Source organism: Homo sapiens, chromosome 3 (assembly GCF_000001405.40).
Source record: "Homo sapiens chromosome 3, GRCh38.p14 Primary Assembly".
Classification (NCBI taxonomy): Eukaryota; Metazoa; Chordata; class Mammalia; order Primates; family Hominidae; genus Homo; species Homo sapiens.
In genome coordinates, this window is record NC_000003.12 from 125882330 (window position 1) to 125897737 (window position 15408).

The 15408-nt window shown below is 43.6% G+C and overlaps 1 long non-coding RNA gene and 1 pseudogene across 2 annotated transcripts in view, besides 1 other annotated feature; one reads left to right on the forward strand and one right to left on the reverse strand.

Moving 5' to 3' along the window:
• The window catches only part of LINC02614 (long intergenic non-protein coding RNA 2614), a 58841-nt gene extending 55093 nt beyond the window's left edge, over positions 1-3748 (reverse strand). For both annotated transcript variants that reach the window (NR_125396.1, NR_125395.1), the window contains exon 1: positions 3551-3748. This is a non-coding gene — a long non-coding RNA (long intergenic non-protein coding RNA 2614). The remainder of the gene's footprint in view (positions 1-3550) is intronic.
• The window catches only part of ENPP7P4 (ectonucleotide pyrophosphatase/phosphodiesterase 7 pseudogene 4), a 61192-nt pseudogene that overhangs the window by 34107 nt on the left and 11677 nt on the right, over positions 1-15408 (forward strand).
• Positions 8097-8992: an enhancer, noted in NCBI's record as "NANOG hESC enhancer chr3:125609269-125610164 (GRCh37/hg19 assembly coordinates)". NCBI's record gives its function as "activates a minimal SCP1, AML or CMV promoter by ChIP-STARR-seq in primed H9 embryonic stem cells {active_cell/tissue: H9 hESC(primed)}" and the evidence as "EXISTENCE:reporter gene assay evidence [ECO:0000049][PMID:30033119]".

A 15408-nucleotide genomic window follows, 5' to 3' on the forward strand; every position in this document is an offset into this window, starting at 1 on the left:
CTTAACTTTTTGGGTTTTTTTTTTTGAGACAGGGCCTCACTCTGCCACCCAGGCTGGAGTATAGTGGCACGATCATGGCTCACTGCAGCCTCAGCCTCCTGGGATGAAGTAGTTCTCCCACCTCAGCCTCCCAAGTAGCTGGGACTACAGGTGCATGCCACCACGCTCAGCAACTTTTTTGTATTTTTTGTAGAAACGGGGTCTCACTATGTTGCCCAGGCTGGTCTTGAACTCCTGAACTCAAGAAGTCCACCTGCCTCAGCTTCCCAAAGTGCCAAGATTACAAGCACGAGCCACTGCACCTGGCTGATTCCTTAGTTTTCTTTTTCTCTTTGCCCATTGCCTGGATTCCATAAGCAGAAGGAAAACCCGGGGGGTCACTTTGTAGGCAAGACTCTCCTCTTCAAAACGTAAATTGGTTCAACTGGTACCAAAACTGAAACGTATTTATAACTTAACATCTTTTCTTCCTACCCCTTCAATCTCTTGAGCAATGAGAAAAGGCACTGGGCTCTTTCCTTGGTGACACATAGTCTGTGCCCTCAAAGAACACTGACACCCCGGCAACATCCATTCGAAGAGCTTATCTGTACCTCCCCTCCTTTATCCCCAAGATCACTGGGCCAGAGCTCACGGAGTCATTCACAACATGATGTTTAACACCGAGAGGCTCTGGAAGTGCTCCTTCAAGACTCAGAAGAAGACCCATTGCTGAGACAATCGTGTTCTCTCTCTCTCTCTGTATAACCACCCAGAGACAAGGACTTCCGGAGACCCTGGCTTCCCTGGCTGCTGCCTCTCATTCCTGCACCTGTGGGATGAGAGTTCGAAGCTGTGCGACCTTGACCAAGTTACTTACCCTCTCTAAGCATATGTTTCCCTAAATGTGAAATAGGGATGATGGTGATGTGTTTATCTCACAGATTTGATAGAAGGATTAAATGAGAGATGCATCAAAAGCAGTGGGCACAGGGTCAATGCTCAGTGAGCTTTCTCTTATCAATAGACAGGTCTCCATGAGGACAGAAACTGGCTTCATCTCGACTGTAGCCTCAGGGCTGGCCACAGTGTCTGCACCCAGCAGGACTTCAGTAAATATCTGTTTATACACTAACCACAGACTTAGGCATAAAAGCCTTTTGGAAGAAAGTTGACCATTTCATGCACCTTCAGACTATGAAGATCAGTGATGACAACTTTAGCTTGAGAGGGTCTCAGTGCCCATTCATCACCACTGTGAAAAGGCAGAAACCAGAGCTGTGTGTTTAACTCCCAGCCCCAAAACCTGTCGGCTTTGCTTTATCACTATGAGCTTCCAATGGCATCCCTTTAGAATGGGGCCTCTCTCTCCTTCCCCAAGGCACCAGCCTTCACCCCAGACCTATCCTTGTCACCTGGTTCCTCCTCTCTGTACTCTGAGCCCATGCTGTGCTCGTCAGATAGCAACATGGGAGAATACAACAGCCCAGAATGCAGGCTGCAGAGTTAGATCCCCAGAACAGGATCTCAGCTGGCTCCATCCTTCCTCAGCTGGGCAACCGTGGCCAATGACTAGCTTTCTGTGCCTGAGTTGCTCCATCTGGGAATTGAAGATTGTCATAGTCCCTGCTTCAAAGAGTCACTGGGAGGATTAACTGAGAAAGTGCAGGGAAGGTGCTTGGAACTAAATGCTCAAAAAAAGTCCATCTGGCCAGGTGCGGTGTCTCACACCAGTAATCCCAGCACTTTGGGAGACCAAGGCAGGCGGATCACTTGAGGTCAGGAATTTAAGACCAGCCTGATCAACATGGCAAAACCCCGACTCTACTAAAAATACAAAAATTAGCCAGGCACGGTGGCAGGCACTTGTAATTCCAGCTACTTGGGAGGCTGAGGCATGAGAATCACTTGAACCTGGGAGGCAGAGGTTGCAGTGAGCTGAGATGGTGCCACTGCACTCCAGCCTGGGCAACATGAGTGAAACTCTGTCTCACAAAAAAAAAAAAAAAAAAAAAGTCCATCATTCTTACTAATGGAGGCCAAATCATCTCAGCTCTTCTTTGGATGATCAGTATGCTCCAAGCCAGTGTTATCCAATAGACCAGAGGTCCCCAGCCCCCAGACCACTGACCAGTAGTGGTCTGTGGCCTGTTAGGAACTGGGTTGCACAGAAGGAGGTGAGCAGCGGGCTAGTGAGTGAAGCTTCATCTGTATTTACAGCTGATCCCCCTGGCTGATCTCTGTCTCCTATCAGATCAGCAGTGGCATTAGATTCTCATAGGAGCACCAACCCTAGTGTGAACTGCATGTGGAAGGGATCTAGGTTGTGTGCTCCTTATGACAATCTAATGCCTGATGATCTGTCACTGTCTCCCACCACCCTGAGATGGAATTATCTAGTTGCAGGAAAACAAGCTCAGGGCTCCCACTGATTCTACATTATGGTGAGTTGTATAATGATTTCATTGTATATTATAATGTTCATAACAATAGAAATAAAGTACACAGTAAATGTAATGCACTTGAATCATCCCGAAACTTCCCCCTAAAAATCCATGGAAACTGGTCCTTGGTGCTAAAAAAAAATTGGGGACCACTGCAATAGACTATTCGGTCACTGTCCAATCAAACATTCTGCAATGGCGGACTTGCTCTACTCTGCACTGTCCAACATGGGAGCTGCTAGCCACCCACATGGGCTGTTGAGCCCTTGAAATGTGGCTGGTGAGAATGAAGAGCTGAATTTTCAATTTTCTCTTATTTTAACAAAAAAAATTTTTTTTTTTTTTGAGACAGAGTCTCATTCTATTCCCCAGGCTGGAGTGCAGTGGCACAATCTCGTCTCACTGCAACCTCCATCTCCCAGGTTCAAGCAATTCTCCTGCCTCAGCCTCCTGAGTACCTAGGATTACAGGAACCCGCCATCATGGCCAGCTAATTTTTGTATTTTTGTAGAGATGGGATTTCACCATGTTGGCCAGGCTGATCTTGAACTCCTGACTTCAGGTGATCTGCCCACCTTGGCCTCCCAAAGTGCTGGGATTACAGGTGTGAGCCACCATGCCCAGCCTTAATTCATTTCTAAATCACAAAATCTAAACAAGTGGCTAGGAGCTACCATAGTGTACAAGGCAGCTGTAGAATCACAGGAAATTGTCAATGACCCTGTCCTGCTTCAAGTTGACTTTTCCCCCTCATGGTGACACTCTAGATTCTTTCCTCTTCTCTCACATTTTTTAGATTTTCAGGCTTAGACCATGAAAATAAGTTCTGTCCTTCCAAGAAAGTAACATTCATAACACTTACTGTATACCAGGCTGATTTCAGTGCTTTACATGTATTAATTTACAACAACTCTGAGGCAGGAGCTGTGATTACACCCATTCAACAGATGAGAAAACTAAGGCACAAAGTGGTGCTGGAACTTCTCAAAGTCACACAGTTTGCAGGAGACAGAACTCGGATTTGAACTCACTTTGGGTTCAGCAACTCACAGCTCTCACCTATGACATAATATTACTTCTGTGGTCAAAACACTTAGACCTGGATTTCACAGGAATCTTGTGCTTACCTGGCTGCTAGGGAGGTTTTCATCATCTTCCTTATCTCACAGTTCAAAACCCAGGGACTCCATGCTCTTGCTCTGGTGACCGTTCACTGGCAGGAGGATTCTGGGAAGGTTCTCCTTTTCTGTCATTTTTCTTATTCGTGGTTTTTTGTTTCATTGGTGTTTATCTGCAGAACTTTGTTTCCTTCTGCTCAATTCATAATCAGAGTGCTTTTCCTCTTGGCTGAATCCATAAGTGTTTATGCAAAAAGAGGTTGGGCATAGAGCCAGGCGACTGATGACACCCGGCTCATCTGGCAAGTGGATATCAAATTGTTGTGTCTCGTTCTGCCATTCCCGGCTCCTGCTGTGGGGCTGGGCCATCTGCCAACTCTGCAAGGAGCTGGCGGGAAACCGCTGCCAGCAGAGTGAACCCACGGCCCGGGTCAGTCCGCCTCGGCATAGCACTCCAGCTGGCCCCCAGTGCCTTTTGGGGACACATCTGTATTGCCAGGCAGGGCTGTGGGAGGGCCGCCTGCCTCCTGTCCATCACAAGGAAAACCTAACCTTGTCCTGCTTCCCTTCCAGGCAGCCTATGTGGAGATTGCTGCATTAACCTTTAATATGGCTAAAATTTTTCCTTCAATGACAGTAATGCTGCTAGAACCCATCCAGATACCCAGGAACTAATGTGCCTTGGCAGATGATGCTGGAAAGATGGGATTCCCGGCAGCCTTTGCATCCCTTGCTCACAGCCCACGAGTGTCTCCACCGTCCAGCAGGGCTTCTCTCACGGTCAGGGCAGAAAGAGAGAGAGTCTATCTGGAACAGGCTCGGATTTCAAATGAGTGTCCCCGATAATTCAACATGATCGATGGCTGAGGTCTTTCACCAAGTTCAGGAGTTCTAGTTCTCAGAGAGAGGCAGCCAGCCATGACTGTAAGACCTGGGCAAACCATACAAACTAGACGGCAGGTCTCACCCCTCCCCAGAGAGCTCCAGAGACTATCAAAGAGTGAAACAGCAGAGGGATGGTCTGGGTGGGGTCATCGTGGCCGACAAGGGTCTGTGACAGCACCTTGTTAGGCTACCCCCAAGAGGAAATTTGGAGAGAGGGTGGGAGGGCAGCTCTCAGTGCAAGCCAAGTCTCCTGGAAAATAACTTTCAAACTTTGGAGGATTGTGAGCAAGATGGGACCAGCAACTTCTACCTAAAAGAATGTTAATAGCAAGATAACTCATCCTAATATTGGTCCAAGCTAGGTCTTTATTATGCATCATAAAGGCTCTGAGAATAACCATCTAACCTCCAAAAGGGCTGCGGGCTTTGAAGAATCTCAGGCAACTTGCTTCCTTCTGCTCAAGGACTCCCCTGGAGCACAGCAAAGCAAGGAAACACTTAGAGCCAAGCTTGAGTTCTGAATTTCAAACACAGGGAGTCCATCTCTTTCTACCCAATTGTTCCCTAGAATCAGTAACTAACTCCTTCCCCTTAATGGCACGTACTTCCTACCAAAGCACAAACGTGATGGGCTGTCCATGAGCCTCCCACAAACATGTGCACCTTTTGACATAAATTCTGTCAGCCAAAGAGACCAGACAAAATGCAAAACCAAAGTGGAGCCTTTCCTTGAATTATAGGTTCTAAAGAGTTTTGGACTCTCTACAAAACCCAAGAGTTAGGAATGGCCTGTAAGAAGCACCAGCCCTTGTTTTAAGGAGGCAATTTAAGAATAATAGCCATGCTGATGCCACACTACGCTAAGGGAGAATAATGAACCTAATAAAACTAGCGATTTTCCAATTGCTTTTGCTGCTGGAAACATTGATTATGCTAATTAAAGGGTAGAATAGTAAATACTCACTCTTTTGCATCCAATTAAGTGTTCAGATTATTTCTCAGAAGTGTTTGTTGAAAATAATCATGGGTCCCAAATAAACAGATTCAATTGTGGTGCGGTACATGTGTGAGTGTGTGTGTGTGTGTGTGTGTGTGTGCGCGCACACATGTGTCTTTCTGGAGCTCATTTTATGGAGATCCCGCATAGCTCCCCAAATTCCTATGAGACCAAATAAGAAAAATCACAGTTTCCTAAGACTACAGCTTGGGATATCCTTGGAAAAGGTGTGTATTGAGAACACAGCATACGGAAACTATTTCACATTGGCAATATCTGTGATTTAACATTGCAAACATCAGAAATACAACTTGTTCTTCAGAGCCACCTAAGTCCCTCATAATGGCAATATTAGCTTCTTCTAAATAATAAATTAGCCAGTCAAACTATGTTCTACAACATGTTAGAAGTGTCGTCCTTCTAGTCAATGTCACATTTCAAGGCAAAGTCGATTTATATGTAAGTTAACAAAAGTGCTGTCACTAAAAATTGAGAATTATGTCTAATGCCAATCAGAAATGGAATAAATAAGTATTAGAGGATTTGCAAGTGAAAGCAACCATAGAAATGCTTTATCAGGAAGGAAAATGTATTACCTGCAGAGGTTACAGAGAAGACTCTAGAACCCAGAAAAGAAAGAATCTCTAAATATTTCCATTAAGTTAATCAAGAGTGGCTGGGTACGGTGGCTCATGTTTGTAATCCCAGGACTTTGGGAGGCCAAATCGGGCAGATCACAGGGTCAGGGGTTTGAGACCAGCCTGGCCAACATGGCAAAACCCTGTCTCTATTAAAAATACAAAAAATTAGCCGGGCGTGGTGGTGTGCACCTGTAATCCCAGCTACCCGGGAGGCTGAGGCAGGAGAATTGCTTTAATCCAGAAGGCAGAGGTTGCAGCGAGCTGAGATGGCACCATTGCACTCCAGCCTGGGTGACAGATCAGGGCTCCGTTTTGAAAAAAAAAAAAGAAAGAAAGTTAATCAGGAGTGAGAATAGGATGAGATTTTCACCCACAAAAGGAGATGAGATTCATGCATTCTTTCAACATGCATTCCATCAATAGTGAGCACCTGCTCTGAGCTAGGCCCGTTCTAGGTCCCAGGAAATGGGTAACCAACCAGACATGGTCCCTGATTTGGAGCTCACATTTTAGAGCAGCTGAATGGACAGTAAACAAGTAAGCAAATTAAGATCATCTTAAATTGGGGGAAGTTCTTTAGAGAAGCACTTCCACAAAGCTGAGTTGCATCATAGACTATGACTGCCAGGTGGTAGGGAAGGTAATATCTCACCTGCCTGTGGATAGCAGAGCTTCTGAAGCCTTGCAAAGTATTTAGTACTAAGATATCTGTCTTAGGTCAAGTTCCCGAAAAACAGAGCCTGAGGCACGGATTGAGTGCATGTAATTCATTCAGGACTCTCAGGAGATAGGAGTAAGGAAAACAGGATATGGCAGGGAAGGAGCTAAGTGAGATGTGGTCTCAGCTGGAGACTGGCTCCAGTCTGATCTCACAGGGAGCTCCAGAGGATGAACTGCACCACCATGTTATCCCAGCCTGAGATCTTTTGTTCTCCTGTGTCAGCCGGTCCCTGGCCAAGGGCTGCAGACTCTCTTGGGGCCCCAGCAGACTGGAGGAGAAGCAGCATGGTCTGCGGTCTACTCTTTTGTGCACACCAACCCACCTCTTCCCCAGCTGACACTGCTGGAGGAGGAGAGGGAAGAGATATCATCCCCTCCTATGGCAACCTGTGGGATAGCAATGGCCCTTTTCCTGTTGGGTGTAATCTGCTGCCATCTCTTGCTGTCTGCAGCCTGACACAGAAGGGTGAAGGTCACCAGGTTCCACTGACAGTGGTCTTTGTCTCAAGCAGCAACCCTAGGACAGTGGCTCCCTTGCAAGATTCAGCCACATCTCATGACTGTCTGCAACACACCCCATGCCTCTGATGGAAGGAACCCAATGCCCCATGCTGCACCCATTTCTGCCAGACTGGGGTCCCTGATCTCAATTTCCCTCTGCAGTCCCCAACTCTGGGGTCTGCAGACACATTTCAGATCCATCCTTAGTACCTCCCAGGAGGCAGAAGCCAGAGGAAATAATCCTTGCCCCAATGCACCTGACCATGCCACTTCACTGTATGCTCTTTCTCCCTCTCCAGGAAAAATCAAGCTTGTTGAATACTTACCAATGTGCCCACGTACATTTAGTCCCCACAACCACTTCATGGGACAGCATTATCATCCCCAAGTTACAGATGAGGAAATTGAAGACAGCATTTATATAACATGCATCTAAGTGGTGGACAAAGGATCTAACCAGGCAGTGTGGCACCAGAGCACACTTTTTTGTTCTTTAGGGAGATGGGATCTCTCTCTGTCCCTCAAACTGGAGTGCAGTGGCCTGATCATAGCTCACTGCAGCCTTGAACTCCCGGGCTCCAGCAATCTTCCTGCCTCAGCCTCCTGAGTAGCTGGGACTACAGGCATTCACCACCAACCCAGCTAATTTTTAAAAATCATTTTTCTAGAGATAGGATCTGATCCCAAACTCCTGACTTCAAGCGATCCTCCTGCCTCAGCCTCCCAAAGTGCTGGGATTACAGTTGTAAGCCCCTGCGCCCAGCCCAGAGCACACTTTTTTTTTTTTTGAGATGGAGTCTCACTCTGTCACCCAGGCTGGAGTGCAGTGGCAAGATCTCGGCCCTGTGGGGAACAGCAAGAGAGATCAGATTGTTACTGTGTCTGTGTAGAAAGAAGTAGGCATAGGAGACTCCATTTTGTTATGTACTAAGAAAAATTCTTCTGCCTTGAGATTCTGTGACCTTACCCCCAACCCCGTGCTCTCTGAAACATGTGCTGTGTCAACTCAGAGTTGAATGGATTAAGGGCGGTGCAAGATGTGCTTTGTTAAACAGATGCTTGAAGGCAGCATGCTCCTTAAGAGTCATCACCACTCCCTAATCTCAAGTACCCAAGGACACAAAAACTGCAGAAGGCCGCAGGGACCTCTGCCTAGGAAAGCCAGGTATTGTCCAAGGTTTCTCCCCATGTGATAGTCTGAAATATGGCCTCATGGGAAGGGAAAGACCTGACTGTCCCCCAGCCCGACACCCGTAAAGGGTCTGTGCTGAGGAGGATTAGTAAAAGAGGAAAGAATGCCTCTTGCAGTTGAGACAAGAGGAAGGCATCTGTCTCCTGCCTGTCCCTAGGCAATGGAATGTCTCAGTATAAAACCTGATTGTATGCTCCATCTACTGAGATAAGGAAAAACCGCCTTAGGGCTGGAGGTGGGACCTGCGGGCAGCAATACTGCTTTGTAAAGCATTGAGATGTTTATGTGTATGCATATCTAAAAGCACAGCACTTAATCCTTTACATTGTCTATGATGCAAAGACCTTTGTTCACGTGTTTGTCTGCTGACCCTCTCCCCACAATTGTCTTGTGACCCTGACACATCCCCCTCTTCGAGGAACACCCACAGGTGTGGAGGGGCAACCCACCCCTACATCTGGCGCCCAACGTGGGGCTTTTCTCTAGGGTGAAGGTACGCTCGAGCGTGGTCATTGAGGACAAGTCGACGAGAGATCCCAAGTACGTCTACAGTCAGCCTTACGGTAAGCTTGTGTGCTCAGAAGAAGCTAAGGTGATAATGGGGCAAACTAAAAGTAAAATTAAAAGTAAATATGCCTCTCATCTCAGCTTTATTAAAATTCTTTTAAAAAGAGGGGGAGTTAAAGTATCTACAAAAAATCTAATCAAGCTATTTCAAATAATAGAACAATTTTGCCCATGGTTTCCAGAACAAGGAACTTTAGATCTAAAAGATTGGAAAAGAATTGGTAAGGAACTAAAACAAGCAGGTAGGAAGGGTAATATCATTCCACTTACAGTATGGAATGATTGGGCCATTATTAAAGCAGCTTTAGAACCATTTCAAACAGAAGAAGATAGCGTTTCAGTTTCTGATGCCCCTGGAAGCTGTTTAATAGATTGTAATGAAAAGACAAGGAAAAAATCCCAGAAAGAAACGGAAAGTTTACATTGCGAATATGTAGCAGAGCCGGTAATGGCTCAGTCAACGCAAAATGTTGACTATAATCAATTACAAGAGGTGATATAACCTGAAACGTTAAAATTAGAAGGAAAAGGTCCAGAATTAGTGGGGCCATCAGAGTCTAAACCATGAGGCACAAGTCCTCTTCCAGCAGGTCAGGTGCCTGTAACATTACAACCTCAAATGCAGGTTAAAGAAAATAAGACCCAACCGCCAGAAGCTTATCAATACTGGCCGCCGGCTGAACTTCAGTATCGGCCACCCCCAGAAAGTCAGTATGGATATCCAGGAATGCCCCCAGCACCACAGGGCAGGGCGCCATACCCTCAGCTGCCCACTAGGAGACTTAATCCTATGGCACCACCTAGTAGACAGGGTAGTGAATTACATGAAATTATTGATAAATCAAGAAAGGAAGGAGATACTGAGGCGTGGCAATTCCCAGTAACATTAGAACCGATGCCAACTGGAGAAGGAGCCCAAGAGGGAGAGCCTCCCACAGTTGAGGCCAGATACAAGTCTTTTTCGATAAAAATGCTAAAAGATATGAAAGAGGGAGTAAAACAGTATGGACCCAACTCCCCTTATATGAGGACATTATTAGATTCCATTGCTCATGGACATAGACTCATTCCTTATGATTGGGAGATTCTGGCAAAATCGTCTCTCTCACCCTCTCAATTTTTACAATTTAAGACTTGGTGGATTGATAGAGTACAAGAACAGGTCCGAAGAAATAGGGCTGCCAATCCTCCAGTTAACATAGATGCAGATCAACTATTAGGAACAGGTCAAAATTGGAGTACTATTAGTCAACAAGCATTAATGCAAAATGAGGCCATTGAGCAAGTTAGAGCTATCTGCCTTAGAGCCTAGGAAAAAATCCAAGACCCAGGAAGCGCCTGCCCCTCATTTAATACAGTAAGACAAGGTTCGAAAGAGCCCTACCCTGATTTTGTGGCAAGGCTCCAAGATGTTGCTCAAAAGTCAATTGCCGATGAAAAAGCCCGTAAGGTCATAGTGGAGTTGATGGCATATGAAAACGCCAATCCTAAGTGTCAATCAGCCATTAAGCCATTAAAAGGAAAGGTTCCTACAGGATCAGATGTAATCTCAGAATATGTAAAAGCCTGTGATGGAATCGGAGGAGATATGCATAAAGCTATGCTTATGGCTCAAGCAATAACAGGAGTTGTTTTAGGAGGACAAGTTAGAACATTTAGAAGAAAATGTTATAATTGTGGTCAAATTGGTCACTTAAAAAAGAATTGCCCAGTCTTAAACAAACAGAATATAACTATTCAAGCAACTACAACAGGTAGAGAGCCACCTGACTTATGTCCAAGATGTAAAAAAGGAAAACATTGGGCTAGTCAATGTCATTCTAAATTTGATAAAAATAGGCAACCATTGTCAGGAAACGAGCAAAGAGGCCAGCCTCAGGCCCCACAACAAACTGGGGCATTCCCAATTCAGCCATTTGTTCCTCAAAGTTTTCAGGGACAACAACCCCCCCTGTCCCAAGTGTTTCAAGGAATAAGCCAGTTACCACAATACAACAATTGTCCCCCGCCACAAGCAGCAGTGCAGCAGTAGATTTATGTACTATACAAGCAGTCTCTCTGCTTCCAAGGGAGTCCCCACAAAAAATCCCCACAGGGGTATATGGCCCACTGCCTGAGGGGACTGTAGGACTAATCTTAGGAAGATCAAGTCTAAATCTAAAAGGAGTTCAAATTCATATTAGTGTAGTTGATTCAGACTATAAAGGCGAAATTCAATTGGTTATTAGCTCTTCAATTCCTTGAGGTGCCAGTCCAGGAGACAGGATTGCTCAATTATTACTCCTGCCATATATTAAGGGTGGAAATAGTGAAATAAAAAGAATAGGAGGGTTTAGAAGCACTGATCCAACAGGAAAGGCTGCATATTAGGCAAGTCAGGTCTCAGAGAACAGACCTGTGTGTAAGGCCATTATTCAAGGAAAACAGTTTGAAAGGTTAGTAGACACTGGAGCAGATGTCTCCATCATTGCTTTAAATCAGTGGCCAAAAAATTGGCCTAAACAAAAGGCTGTTACAGGACTTGTTGGCATAGGCACAGCCTCAGAAGTGTATCAAAGTACTGAGATTTTACATTGCTTAGGGCCAGATAATCAAGAAAGTACTGTTCAGCCAATGATTACTTCAATTCCTCTTAATCTGTGAGGTTGAGATTTATTACAACAATGGGGTGCAGAAATCACCATGCCCGCTCCATTATATAGCCCCACGAGTCAAAAAATCATGACCAAGATAGGATATATACCAGGAAAAGGACTAAGGAAAAATGAAGATGGCATTAAAGTTCCAGTTGAGGCTAAAATAAATCAAAAAAGAGAAGGAATAGGGTATCCTTTTTAGGGGCGGCCACTGTAGAGCCTCCTAAACCCATACCATTAACTTGGAAAACAGAAAAATTGGTGTAGGTAAATCAGTGGCCGCTACCAAAACAAAAACTGGAGGCTTTACATTTATTAGCAAATGAACAGTTAGAAAAAGGTCATATTGAGCCTTCATTCTTGCCTTAGAATTCTCCTGTGTTTGTAATTCAGAAGAAATCAGGCAAATGGCGTATGTTAACTGACTTAAAGGCCATAAATGCCGTAATTCAACCCATGAGGCCTCTCCAACCTAGGTTGCCCTCTCCGGCCATGATCCCAAAAGACTGGCCTTTAATTATAATTGATCTAAAGGATTGCTTTTTTACCATCCCTCTGGTGGAGCAAGATTGTGAAAAATTTGCCTTTACTATACCAGCCATAAATAATAAAGAACCAGCCACCAGGTTTCAGTGGAAAGTGTTACCTCAAGGAATGCTTAATAGTCCAACTATTTGTCAGACTTTTGTAGGTCGAGCTCTTCAACCAGTTAAAGAAAAGTTTTCAGACTGTTATATTATTCATTATATTGATGATATTTTATGTGCTGCAGAAACGAAAGATAAATTAATTGACTGTTATACATTTCTGCAAGCAGAAGTTGCCAATGCAGGTCTGGCAATAGCATCTGATAAGATCCAAACCTCTACTCCTTTTCATTATTTAAGAATGCAGATAGAAAATAGAAAAATTAAGCCACAAAAAATAGAAATAAGAAAAGACACATTAAAAACACTAAATGATTTTCAAAAATTGCTAGGAGATATTAATTAGATTCGGCCAACTCTAGGCATTCCTACTTATGCCATGTCAAATTTGTTCTCTATCTTAAGAGGAGACTCAGACTTAAATAGTAAAAGAATGTTAACCCCAGAGGCAACAAAAGAAATTAAATTAGTGGAAGAAAAAATTCAGTCAGCGCAAATAAATAGAATAGATCCCTTAGCCCCACTCCATCTTTTAATTTTTGCCACTGCACATTCTCCAACAGGCATCATTATTCAAAATACTGATCTTGTGGAGTGGTCATTCCTTCCTCACAGTACAGTTAAGACTTTTACATTGTACTTGGATCAAATAGCTACATTAATTGGTCAGACAAGATTATGAATAATAAAATTATGTGGAAATGACCCAGACAAAATAGTTGTCCCTTTAACCAAGGAACAAGTTAGACAAGCCTTTATCAATTCTGGTGCATGGCAGATTGGTCTTGCTAATTTTGTAGGAATTATTGATAATCATTACCCAAAAACAAAAATCTTCCAGTTCTTAAAATTGACTACTTGGATTCTACCTAAAATTACCAGATGTGAACCTTTAGAAAATGCTCTAACAGTATTTACTGATGGTTCCAGCAATGGAAAAGCAGCTTACACAAGGCCGAAAGAACGAGTAATCAAAACTCCATATCAACCGACTCAAAGAGCAAAGTTGGTTGCAGTCATTACAGTGTTACAAGATTTTGACCAACCTATCAATATTATATCAGATTCTGCATATGTAGTACAGGTTACAAAGGATGTTAAGACAGCTCTAATTAAATATAGCATGGATGATCAGTTAAACCAGCTATTCAATTTATTACAACAAATTGTAAGAAAAAGAAATTTCCCATTTTATATTACTCATATTCGAGCACACACTAATTTACCAAGGCCTTTGACTAAAGCAAATGAACAAGCTGACTTACTGGTATCATCTGCATTCATAAAAGCACAAGAACTTCATGCTTTGACTCATGTAAATGCAGCAGGATTAAAAAACAAATTTGATGTCACATAGAAACAGGCAAAAGATATTGTACAACATTGCACCCAGTGTCAAATCTTACACCTGCCCACCCAAGAGGCAGGAGTTAATCCCAGAAGTCTGTGTCCTAATGCATTATGGCAAATGGATGTCACGCATGTTCCTTCATTTGGAAGATTATCATATGTTCATGTAACAGTTGATACTTATTCACATTTCATATAGGCAACTTGCCAAACAGGAGAAAATACTTCCCATGTTAAAAAACATTTATTGTCTTATTTTGCTGTAATAGGAGTTCCAGAAAAAATCAAAACTGACAATGGACAAAGATATTGTAGTAAAGCTTTCCAAAAGTTCTTAAGTCAGTGGAAAATTTCACATACAACAAGAATTCCTTATAATTCCCAAGGACAGGCCATAGTTGAAAGAACTAATAGAACACTCAAAACTCAATTAGTTAAACAAAAAGAAGGGGGAGACAGTAAGGAGTGTACCACTCCTCAGATGCAACTTAATCTAGCACTCTATACTTTACATTTTTTAAACATTTATAGAAATTAGACTACTACTTCTGCAGAACAACATCTTACTGCTAAAAAGAACAGCCCACATGAAGGAAAACTAATTTGGTGGAAAGATAATAAAAATAAGACATGGGAAATAAGGAAGGTGATAATGTGGGGGAGAGGTTTTGCTTGTGTTTCACCAGGAGAAAATCAGCTTCCTGTTTGGATACCCACTAGACATTTGAAGTTCTACAATGAACTCATCAGAGATGCAAAGAAAAGCACATCCGTGGAGACGGAGACACCACAATCGAGCACCGTTGACTCACAAGATGAACAAAATGGTGACGTCAGAAGAAGAGATGAAGTTGCCATCCACCAAGAAGGCAGAGCCACCGACTTGGGCACAACTAAAGAAGCTGACACAGTTAGCTACAAAATATCTAGAGAACACAAAGGTGACACAAACCCCAGAGAGTATGCTGCTTGCAGCCTTGATGATTGTATCAATGGTGGTAAGTCTCCCTATGCCTGCAGGAGCAGCTGCAGCTAACTATACCTACTGGGCCTAAGTGCCTTTCCCGCCCTTAATTTGGGCAGTCACATGGATGGATAATCCTATAGAAGTATATGTTAATGATAGTGTATGGGTACCTGGCCCCACAGATGATCGCTGCCCTGCCAAACCTGAGGAAGAAAGGATGATGATAAATATTTCCATTGGGTATCGTTATCCTCCTATTTGCCTAGGGAGAGCACCAGGATGTTTAATGCCTGCAGTCCAAAATTGGTTAGTAGAAGTACCTACTGTCAGTCCCATCAGTAGATTCACTTATCACATGGTAAGCGGGATGTCACTCAGGCCACAGGTAAATTATTTACAAGACTTTTCTTATCAAAGATCATTAAAATTTAGACCTAAAAGGAAACCTTGCCTCAAGGAAATTCCCAAAGAATCAAAAAATACAGAAGTTTTAGTTTAGGAAGAATGTGTGGCCAATAGTGCGGTGATATTACAAAACAATGAATTCGGAACTATTATAGATTAGGCACCTCGAGGTCAATTCTACCACAATTGCTCAGGACAAACTCAGCCGTGTCCAAGTGCACAAGTGAGTCCAGCTGTTGATAGCGACTTAACAGAAAGTTTAGACAAACATAAGCATAAAAAATTGCAGTCTTTCTACCCTTAGGAATGAGGAGAAAAAGGAATCTCTACCCCAAGACCAAAAATAATAAGTCCTGTTT